The sequence below is a fragment of the Homo sapiens genome, chromosome 22 (genome assembly GCF_000001405.40).
Source record: "Homo sapiens chromosome 22, GRCh38.p14 Primary Assembly".
Taxonomy (NCBI): domain Eukaryota; kingdom Metazoa; phylum Chordata; class Mammalia; order Primates; family Hominidae; genus Homo; species Homo sapiens.
The window spans coordinates 20627467-20638929 of NC_000022.11; the positions used below are offsets into that span (position 1 = coordinate 20627467).

General features: G+C 52.5%; 1 pseudogene, besides 2 other annotated features; it reads left to right on the forward strand.

Moving 5' to 3' along the window:
• Nucleotides 4720-5245: an enhancer, noted in NCBI's record as "H3K27ac-H3K4me1 hESC enhancer chr22:20986473-20986998 (GRCh37/hg19 assembly coordinates)". NCBI's record gives its function as "activates a minimal SCP1, AML or CMV promoter by ChIP-STARR-seq in primed H9 embryonic stem cells {active_cell/tissue: H9 hESC(primed)}" and the evidence as "EXISTENCE:reporter gene assay evidence [ECO:0000049][PMID:30033119]".
• Nucleotides 5124-5360, forward strand: IGLL4P (immunoglobulin lambda like polypeptide 4, pseudogene; annotated as a pseudogene).
• Nucleotides 6433-7175: an enhancer, noted in NCBI's record as "H3K27ac-H3K4me1 hESC enhancer chr22:20988186-20988928 (GRCh37/hg19 assembly coordinates)". NCBI's record gives its function as "activates a minimal SCP1, AML or CMV promoter by ChIP-STARR-seq in primed H9 embryonic stem cells {active_cell/tissue: H9 hESC(primed)}" and the evidence as "EXISTENCE:reporter gene assay evidence [ECO:0000049][PMID:30033119]".

Genomic DNA, 11463 nt, shown 5'->3' on the forward strand with positions numbered 1-11463 from the left:
CTGAATTCTTGATGCAGTTCTTCCACTTTCGCCCTTTCTTCTCGTCTCTGTCTCATTCAGCTCCCTCATTACAAACCTTCCAACTGGCTGGATGGCGCAGTTGCTCAACCAGCAGAGAGCACTGGGGTAGCCCCAAATAAATGTTCATGTCATCTCCAAATTACCAGCACTATTCCCAGGTCCCAATTCAAGACAAAACCTTATCAGCCTCATCAGTGAGAGCACGTTTTCACCGAGCTGAGTAAAAACTTAGGTACAAGACCATTCAGTGGGGAAAACACTCATTTCTTTGAAGAATGGTGCTGGGAGAACTGGATATCCACATGCAAAAGGATGAAGCTGGACCCCTACATCACACCATATACAAAAATTAAGTCACAATAGGTCAAAGCCCTAAGTATAAACACTAAAACTGTTAAACTCTAAACAAAAAACATGGAATTACATTTTCAAGATCTTGGATTTGGCAATGGATTCATTCTTATTTGGTTTTTAACTTCATTGTGAGCCAATTTAGCATCCAAAATTCCAGTAGGTTTGGTAAAAATTGACAAGCTGATTCTAAAATTATAGCAAAAATGTAAAGGGCAGGCCGGGTGCAGTGGCTCACACCTGTAATCCCAGCACTTTGGGAGGCTGAAGCAGGTGGATCACTTGAGGTCAGTAGTTTGAGACCAGCCTGGCTAACATGGTGAAACCCCATCTCTGCTAAAAAAAAAAAGAAAACACCAAAAATTATCCGGGCATGGTGGAGTGTGCTGTACCTGTAATCTCAACTACTTGGGAGACTCAGGCAGGAGAATCACTTGAAGCCGGGAGGCGGAAGTTGCAGTGGGCCAAGATCATGATACTGCACTCCAGCCTGGGTGATAGAGTGACTCTGTCGAAAGAAAGAAAGAAGGAAAGAAAAAAAAGAAAAAGAAGAAAGAGAGAGAGAGAGAGAGACAGACAGACAGACAGAAAGAAAGAAAGAAAGAAAGAAAGAAAAGAAAGAAAGAGAAAGAGAAAGAGAGAAAGAAAGAGAGAGGGAGGGAGGGAGGAAGGAAGGAGAAAAAAATGTAAAGGACAAAGAAAATCTAGACTCTTCTTAAAGGACAACTCACCTCATCCTGGTCATCTTGGCGTCTTCATGATTATGAGCATGAGGACTTCTAGAATTCTCTCTCTCTGTCCCCTGTCCTCTCTAGGATTCCACAGTCTTCCCAGGTGACCAATACTTGGGATCCACCTTTCAGGCAAGGTCCTCTTCTTACCCATGGGGCTTACATATCTAATCCAGTGGTTCTTACCCAGAGCTGTGCACTGGCACCAGGACACCCCAGGCACACTTGGGGCAGCCCCTAGAGATTCGGTTGGTCTAGTTTGGAGTCTTCTTCCACAAACGCGACTGTGATTGATTTACATCTGTGACTGAATCCCTAGTGAAGATGCCTAATTGCAGCACAGTGACCTCAGTGACGCTAGCCCTAAGCATAGCCACCCAGAAGAACAGGGCATTTGGCCAAGCGAGAGTGGTGTTCTGAGGAGGGTCCTGGTCACACACCTCCATCTGTCTCCACACCTGTCTGGCCATCTGGGCCCAGCTAATCGGAGTCCAGTACCTCTTTTCTTGGTCTCAGGCCCACACAGCTTCACTCTTCGCATGTAAGCCATGCCCCTCTGAATTTCTGATGCCACTATCTTATCTCCAGTGCTGGAGTTACTACTTCTTTCAGGGAACATCACAATTCTTTCCGCATTTGAAACTTCCCACTTTCAAAAGTTTTGTCTTTCTCAGTGTCACCTCCTCTGTCTAAGGGTAGGGCCCAGGTGTGAGAAGCAGGGAACTAAGAGAACCATCCTGACTCTCGGGGAGCTGTTCTGCCTTGGCCCGTTGCTGTGAGGACACACGTCCATGGTACTGAGACAGCCAACAGCCCTGGGAACCAGAAACCTCACCCTCCTATGAGCAGGTCATGGCAGGTAGACACAAGCCTTGTTCTGGGGGCCAGGCTAAGAATGTCCCATGGATTGAACAGTAGAGACATTGACCCTGTTTGAGGTGTGAATTCTAGATTTGAGCTCCAGCAGTGCAGTTAGAAGCAGCCGACCTGCCTCTAGTTCCTAAGCCCTCGTACCCATCACACTGTTCTACAGAAGTGGCCACTTGATCCCCTAAAGCTGTGCCCTCAATGGACACTTTGTTCACATTTAAGTGAATATGATCCTTTTAAAAATTAAAAATACATATTTTAAAGATAGTCTTACCCTGTCACCCAAGACGGAGTGAAGTGGGATGAACACAGGTCACTGCAGCCTCAATTCCTGAAGTTGAGGAGTCAACTGCCTCTGTCTCCAAAGTAGCTGAGACTACAGGCGTACACCACACCTGGTTTCATTCAGGTGAATATAATCTTTGCTGCCAGCATCTCACCCTTTGATAGTAATCACATCCTCTTAAGAGGGCTTTGGAAACAATTGGCCTTGGCTAGCCAATCCCAGGTTTTCGCTTCCATGAGGGTCTCCAGCTTCACACAATATTGTGCCCATATCTGTAGCGGCCTTGGTTTTTAATTGCAAACAACAGCATCCACCCACATCAGTGTTGGTAAAAAATAAATTGCTTTTTTTTTTTTTTTTGAGACAGACTCTCGCTGTCGCCCAGGCTGGAGTGCAGTGGTGTGATCTCGGCTCACTGCAAGCTCTGCCTCCCAGGTTCACGACATTCTCCTGCCTCAGCCTCCCAAGTAGCTGGGACTACAGGTGCCCACCACCATGCCCGGCTAATTTTTTGTATTTTTAGTAGAGACGGGGCTTCACCGTGTTAGCCAGGATGGTCTCGATCTCCTGACCTTGTGATCCACCCGCCTCAGCCTCCCAAAGTGCTGGGATTACAGGTGTGAGCCACCACGCCCGGCCAAGGTATTGCTTCTTTAAGAATGGAGCTGTTAATACTGCTGGTACCAGAAACATTAAAAAAGAAAAATCCTGCATGAGGGCCAGAGGAGGAGTACAGGAGAGTGAGATGGAGTGGAATCCTCCAGTGGGTGATAGATGGATGGACAGACAGATGAATAGACAGACGAACAGATGAACAGACGGACAGACATGAATAAACAGGTGGACAGACAGATGAATAGATGAACAGACAGATGGACAACTGGATAGATGGACAGATGAAACTAATAATCTGAGAAATCAGAAAAGCTTCATGAAAAAAGTGGGACTGAGCTGTGTCTCCACGGATAGATATAAAAGCAGAGGACTCTCCACTTGAGTCGAGAATGACCCAGTGTCCTGATCCAGAGAGGAAGCCAGCCTGGCTTGACTGGGAAATTTGTGGGAGGACTCAGAGGCCCTTAAAATGAGGCCAGGTGAGGTTGGGCTGATCCGAGCCAGCTCAGGACTCCTCTGCCACACAGCACAGCTGCCTTAGGGGACACATTACTCAGGGAGTTGCTGGGACCTACTGGGCCCAGCATTGCCACCAGCACCAACAGCTTCAGAGAGGGGGGACACACACTTGGGGTGACTCCAAGACTGTGGGTGGCACCTGCCTCAAACAGGGGACAGGCACAGGGACACCTCTCGGGGTCTGGCACCCCCACGCACTGTGCCTAGGTCCCAACAACGCCCACTGCAGCCCTGTGCCCATCATGCCCAGAAGGTTTCCGCTTCAGCCTGGCCCCTGTACTGGCCCCAGGAATTTGGACCCAAGCCTCAGTCACTGGGTAAACAGCAGTGGGAACCAGCTCATTACTCTAGGTAAGTGGCTCTTACAACCTTCCCCAGCCAGTTCCACCCTCTGTTGTCTCTGGAAAATATGTTTTCTCTCCCTGGGGTGGCTTCTCCTCTGCCCTCCCAGCCTTAATCACTGACCCCTACCTTTCTCTATGGGTCCTGGGGGAGGTGGGTTAGTCTTGAGGTAACCAGCAGAAGGGCCCCAGGTTCCAACAGCCAGACGCAGCCTGGTCCCGGGGCCTGGGCTGGGTTTAGGCAAGGTCAGAGTTCCTTCACCTCTTTCAGGGCAGGCACCCGAGGTGCGGGGCAGAGGCCAGTTCTGACTGGCACACTGCAGTAGCATCAGAGACACCCCCCGGACCCCAGGGTCTAGGCTGATGGCTGGATGCCCATCCAGCCTGGGAAGGCCACACGGGGGCCTGGGGACAAAGGGGTCACCATGAGGTGACATCAATGCAGGTGCAGAGAGGGCTCTGGGTCTAGGCTGCAGCTCTCTGGCCTCTGCTGGGTCATGAGGACACAGGGACAAAAAAAGAAGATGGGTCAGATGGGGCAAGATGGCCAGAGCCCAGCCCTCCCAGAATAGTCATCAGAGAGGAGCAGATCCCTTAGGGCAGAGACATATTTGTCCCTGGAGCCCCTTCACCCCTGGGGCCTGGCGTCTCACTGTCCATGGGTCAGTCTCCCACCTTCCTCAAAGGGCACGTTAGACTCAGGAGGTGACAAGAGGGGAGCGAATGGGGGGTGCAGAGGACTCTACGGCAGCCAGCTGAAGTCTAGAGTTGTCAGAGTCCGTGGAGGCAGGCATGGGGGGCTGCTGTGTCCCGTGGTCCAGGGGAGCAGCCCCAACACCACAGTGGAGGTGAAGGGTCCTATGGTTGGGGTGGTGGGGACAAGGGAGGTGAAGAGCGGTGGAGGAGCCCCGGGGCTTGTCTGGGTGCAGCCCACCCTTCATCAGGAAAGCTGAATGGGATGGGCTGGGGCAAAGCCTGGTGCCCCAGGGGACAGGAAGCTCCAGGCCCCACCAGGCTTGGGCCTTTCCACACTCTGCCAGGATAGTCCTGTGGGCTGGGCGGGGACGTGCAAATTCCAAACTCAGACTCCAGAGACCAGAGAGGAGGGAGCACAGCCTGCCCTGGGTACACACAGGGAAACAGAGGCTGCAGAGGAGGGCTGGGCCAGGGCTCCTAGAAAAGGTGACTTGGGAAGAGCTCCTAGGAAGGTGCGGGCTGGCTGCTCTGCAGAGGTCTTGAGTGAAAAGGAGGGGAATGAGGAGGGAAGAGGCAGCCCCGGGTGGACTGGACAGCCATGCCGTGAACCTCACAGAGACTTTAGACAGAGAGGGGGCTCTACAACACCCCAGTACTCCCTCTGCCTCTCTTGCCCCCTCCTCTGTCCACACAGGTCTGCCCAAGGCCGCCCCTTTGGACACTCTGAGGAACTCCAAGCCAACAAGATGCCTCTCATTAGTGACTTCTACCCTGATGCCGTGATGGTGGCCTGGAAGGCAGAGGGCACCACCATCACCCTGGGCATGAAGACTGCCACACCCTCCAAACAGAGAAACACAAGTACACGGTTAGCAGCTACCTGAACCTGACGTCTGACCAGTGGAGGTCCCCCAGCAGCTATGTTCTTAGGCCCCTCACCCCACCCACAGCAGCCAGGAGCTGCAGGATCCCAGGGCAGGGGTCTCCCCTCCCACCCCAAGGCATCCAGCCCTTCTCCTTGCACCCAATAAACCCTCAGTAAATATCCTCATTGTTAATCAGAAATTCTGCTCCCTGTCTTCATTTCTTACCTTTCATATAATTTGACACTTCCCCCAGGTTCTCAGTGGGGGATGGGGGAATCCTGACACTCAGTGGGAAAATAGCTTGTGGGAGAGGCTCCCAGGCTCCCAGGGGCATCTGCTGGAGAAACAGGCCAGGCAAGGAGCAATCTGATCACTGAAGACCAGTCCCTCTGCCCTCTCCCTCCTCCAATTCCCCGCTGCAGCACTCCCTCCCCCAACCCCCCGCCACTCCCTGCCTCCTTTCTGGATGGAGCTGTCCCTGGCTGGGCCTTCAGATATGCCCTCTGTCCTTGCCCTAGTAAAGACACTCTTCCCACCTACGACCTCTTTTTCCTCAGCCTGGAAGTAACACTCTGGGCCTGGAGTTCCTCTGCCCGTGGCCCTGGCCCCTGGAATCCCCTCCTCCCTCTCTGCCCAACTCCCCACCCCTGAGAGCTGGACTGTCCAGAATACTCCAGCACCTTCAAATTCATGAGCTGTTAAATTTGGGGCCCACCTCGATTCTTCACCTGCCAGCAGGTTCACAGGTGTAAGAAAAATCGGAGGAAGGCAAGAAGGAAACACACACAAAAGGCTTGCAGGAGGCTCAGGACACTTGCCAAAGATAGGCTCTAAGCTCCCCAGGAACCAGAGCAAGAAGGGTAACAGGAGCTCCATCATTTCTATGAGATTTAACAAAGCCTTTGCTTGAGGGAAGTTGGTGTTTTCAATGCTGAGGCCAGGCATCTCCTCAGAACTAACAGTGGGGATGTGTTTTTTGTCTGTTTGTTTTGTTTCGTTTTGTTTTGAGACGGAGTCTCACTCTGTCGCCCAGGCTGGAGTGCACTGGTGCAATCTCGGCTCACTGCAAGCTCCGCCTCCCAGGTTCACGCCATTCTCCTGCCTCAGCCTCCCGAGTAGCTGGGACCACAGGCGCCCACCACCATGTCCGGCTAATTTTTTGTATTTTTTTTTAGTAGAGGTGGGGTTTCACCGTGTTAGCCAGGATGGTCTTGATCTCTTGACCTCGTGATCTGCCCACCTTGGCCTCCCAAAGTGCTGGGATTACAGGTGTGAACCACCACTCCAGGCAGTGGGGATGTGTTTTACCCAATCCCTTAGTATTGATTGGATTTGGGCTCCGACACCTGCACAGGTGACTGCCTGGCAGCCCCAGAACACGGAGATGTTCTCAAGTGTGTGGCACAGAAAGTCACTGGCTGCCTTTGGGGGGCATTCTTTTTGGGAAACACCTCTCCATTGGATCCTGGGCCTCAGGTGGAAAACCAGGTCCTGCCTCGGGACTTTCTCTGTGAGGCTCCCTGGGTCTGGGGCTCCAGCCATTCTCCGAGAGGAAGGTGCCAGGAGAGAGAGCAAGGCCCAGCCCCACCTAGTCTTTCCTGCATGGTCCCTGCTCTGGTAGAGACAGGGTTTGGCCTGGCTGGGTTCCACACCTGCTGAAGGATGCACAGATGGTAGATGCCCAGTCTGACCCTGGGTCTACCCAGGGCTAACCCCCTTCCCTGAGGCCAGACTGAGGAGGCTGAGCCTGCCCAGGTCCTGCAGGTGTTCAGGGCAGCACAGACAGTGGGTGCCCAGGCCCCTGACCCAAGGTCACCCTTCCCTCTTGAGGCTGTGCTAGGCAGGGCCAGGAGACAGTACTGAACACACCAATCCCCTTGTGGCTCTGTGGGGTTGGGGACCTACACTCCTCAGTCTACATCGAGCCGGTGTAGGAGACAGGCAGAAGCAGGAGGGTCCTCGGAGTCCACAAAGCAGAGCAGGGGCAGGTGCTCGTGTGCCCATTTCACCGAAGAGAGAACTGAGGCTCCACGGGAAGGGAAGTGACCTGCCCGGGTCAACATGGTGAGCTGCTGCCTGACCCACCCCCAGCCTCTTTCCACAGCTCCTCAGTCCTTCATTCATTCACTCACACACTCATTCAGCAAACCCTCAGTGAGCACAGCTGTGGGCCAGGTGCTGGTGCAAGACCAGGACCACCTGCCCTGGAGAAGCTCATGAGCTGGAGGACAACAGGGAGACACCACTGCACCCCCCTGTCCTCAAGTCCCCAAGGTTGGAGCTTGGCCCAGGGAGCGCCTGGGGCAGCAGGGGCATCTCCCCCTACTTAGCAGAAGATTTAACTGAAAGAACCATCTGACGGAGCCCCAGCTGTCATCCCTGGGCCACAGTGGGAACATCACAGTCCCTCATCAACCCTCACAGTGACCCTGAGGCCCAGGGCAGCCATGGTCCACCTCACATAGGGCAGGCCGACCATGAGGAATGCACCACGGTTGCCTCATAGCGACCCTGAGCTCTAGAGCTGCCATTGCCCACCTTATAGAGGGGATGCTGACCAGGAGGGAGGCACCAACCAGGGCCACCCAGGCTCCGGCCAGCCTGAGAGTGGCCCAGCTGGCCCTGTGCCTGCACTGCCCTGCACCTGCTGCCCTGCCCAGCTCAGACCCTGGTCATATCCTCAGGAGTGATGGCCCCACAGCACCAGGGCAGGGTAGGTCCACACTGGGAGAGCCCCTAAAGGTACAGAGAAGAGCACTGGAGTCCAGGGAGGAGGGATTGTCCCGGCCCTGGTCCTGCCTCGCTGTGACCAGGGCTGAGGCATTTGCTCTAAATCAGATGGGGGAGGGGCATCTGTGGCTTCCTCTACAGCCAAAACCAGAGCCCCAAATAGCCCCGGTGGGTATGGAGGGGCCTTGGGGGAGGGGAGGAAATGGGAGGGGAGGTGGCTGCTTGGGGCTCTGGGTGAGGGCTAGGAGCTCCTACTGAGCTAAGCGGATGACTCTCCTATCTGACCTGGCCCCCCATGGGGCCTGCAAAAGCACCAAGAGAGCATCCCCAGCCAGGCCTGTGGAGGGGCCCTTGACCCCTCATACTCACTGAGCCCAGTGGTGGGAAGAGGGGGCTGGTCCCCGGCCAGTATTCTCCTGAGGACACCGACACTCACTGGTAACAAGCAAACCAGACCCAGATGCTCCAAAAAGAGGCCACTGGATCCCAGCAAGCACCCACTCCCCCCAACACGAAGGTCCAAAACCAAGCTTCAGCCAACTAGAATGTGGGAACTTCCCGGGAGGTAGAGGAAACAAGTCACTGTCCACTTGCAATGCCCACCGGTTAGTGACGCAGCACAATGACAGTCACACCTCTCAGAGGGGGCTCTCCCTCGACTCTCCTTCCTGACACATCAACAAGGACAGCCTTACCAAGGGCCACACCTGGGCAGTCACCATGGGGTTCGTGGTCTCACGTGGGCCCTGCTTAAAGCCCCTGGGGATAAGCTCACTCCAGCTCATGAGAGGCCGGGGGTGACCCTGACCCCATTTTCCGATCAGCGATAGCACAGCACATGTGGGGACCAATGAGAAATGAGTCTGGGGAGACCACGGGCTTCAGGGAGAATGTTTCGATGAGGCAAGTACAAGAGCCAGTGAGGGACTGGGTGACTTCTGTGGCCTGTGTCACAGAGCTGGGGCCATCAGATGCCCCATGTCCACTCTGAGGACAGAGTAGCCCATGGTTAGGATGACCCACCAGCCAGGCCTGGCCAGGGCACCCACAGGAGACAGGAAGGCTGTGAGGGCCCGGGGGCACGGAGCAGCTCTGAAAGGAAGGGGTGCTGGGTCCCGGGGCTCCTGGGCAGAGTGGTTGAAGAAGGTGAGACCCCAGACCAGCCAGATGGGCCCACTTCTCAGGGGACCCTGGTCAGACAAGGGAGCACCTCCTGCTCATGGAACACAGCAAGGGGCAAGGTAGGCACAGCCAGGCTCGGAGAACTCGTATTTGGGGGAGATGTAAATCAACCCAATAGACAAGGGAGCGATGTGGTGTAGGAGATGGGGTTTGTGCTGGGGAGAAATAAGGCAGAGAGTGGGGAGTAGAGAGCACCTGTCTGGGGTCTCAGGAGGAGCGATGTCCCAAGACTGGAGGCGGCCAGGGGCTGAGGAGCCCTGACTGGGCCAGGCCTGTGGCTGGAGCTGGAGGCTCGGGTTCAGCCTCAGTTTCCCCTCTGTGAAGCTAGGTTCATAATAATGGAAATTGACTTTCTGGGTGGCTGGAGAGACATTCAGATGGAAAATGGATATTCTATTTTGTCTCTGTCCTTGGTTGTTGTCATCTCAGGCTGTTCCAGCCCCAGTTAGCCTCGGGTCAGCCCCCTGCCCATGTTGGTCTCCCCATGAGCTCAGGCACCTCATCCCCAGCACAGCTGGCCTGGAGAAACCAAGATTCCCTGAGGCTTAAAATAGCTGGAAAGCCAGCCCAGCTGCAGGTGCCTCCCTGTAGGATAAAATGTAGGAGAAGATCTTCAGGAGCTAGGACTAGGCAAAATTTTCTTAGACTTGACACCAAAAACATAGTCTACAAAAGGAAAAATTGCTAAGCTAAGTTTCATCAAAATTTAAAAATTTGTTCTGCAAAACACCTTGTTAAAAAGATGACAAGTTACAGACTAGGAGAAAATATTTTCAAACAACATATATGAACAAAGCACTGTTATCTTGAGTATATAAGGAACTTGCAAACTCCACACAAAAAATCAAACAATCCAATTAGAAGATGGGCAAAAGACACGAGCAGACATTTCACCAGAGATGATACACAATGGACAAATAAGCCCATGAAAAGATCTTCAACTTCACTAGCCATTTGGGAAATGCAAATTAAAACCACAATGAAATATAATTTACACACATCAGAGTGGCTAAAATAAAAAATAGTGACAAGACAAAACTCTGCTGAAGATATAAGTGTGAATCACTCATATATTGCTGGTGGGCATATAAAATACCACAGCCACTGCAAAAGTGTGGCAGTCTCTTTTTTCTCTTTAGAGACAGGGTCTCCCTATATTGCCCAGGCTGGACTCAAATTCCTGGGCTAAAGTGATCCTCTCGCCTCAGCCTCCAGAGTAGCTGGGACTAAAGGCACATGCTACTGTTGATGTTTGGCAGTTTCTTATACGACTGAACATGGAACTACCGTATGACCTAGCAATTACATTCTGACTCATCTATCCCAGAGAAATGACAACCTGTGCTCATACAAACAACCGTACGTGAATGTTCATTACAGCTTTAATAGCAATAGCCAAAAATCTAGAAATAACTCAGCCATCCATCAGCAGGTGAACAGTTAAACTGTGCTACATCCATCTTATGGAATAGCACTCAGCCATCCAAAGGAATCAACTCTTGATACACTCAACCAGCTCAACCCTCCCCAGAACGCACCTGGGTGGGAAGGTGCACAGCAGATTGGGCCACTAGATTTACCCAGTGTGGAGGAAACAGGTACCTCCTCCTAGATTTTGTTCTTGGCAGAGATAAACCAGTGCTTCTCAGTCATTTTTGCTTTTTACTAGCCATGGGAGGTATTTTCCAGTAAAGGCTTCTATGACCAAATGCATTTGAAGGAATGTTCCATATGCTCTCCCACACGCCTTCAATTTCCTGAGAGTGACAAGAATACCAGAATAGCCAAGGTTCTAAGATATCCTTCAGGATACCTGTTTAACTTAAACTTCCCCAAACTATTTGATTATGAGACTCTTTTCAAGCATAAACATTTTCCTTCCAGGAACATTTGTATTCTTATAAGAAAATATTAGAAAGCATTCCAGGTGACTTACCTAATGGGAGAACCTCAGGCGCCAAGCCAGATGAGATAAAAGTTTCAAATAGTGCTGATAAGGTTTTCTTGGTTCAGCTGCCTCCCTCCAACTCAGCTGCTGTCACACTTCTAGGCAGTTTTGACTGGACTGTAAATTCCTTCTGGCTGGGGCCATGTCTCAGCACCTTGTGCAGGAGTGATACAAACTAATGCTTCATAATAAATACTTACTCACTGACTTTCTCTTTATTCATCCCAGGTGAGCATGTTTTCCATCCCCTTCAATCTCCACACTCACGGGCAAAAGTGAGTTGTGGGTCTTGGAACTCTCAAGAAGA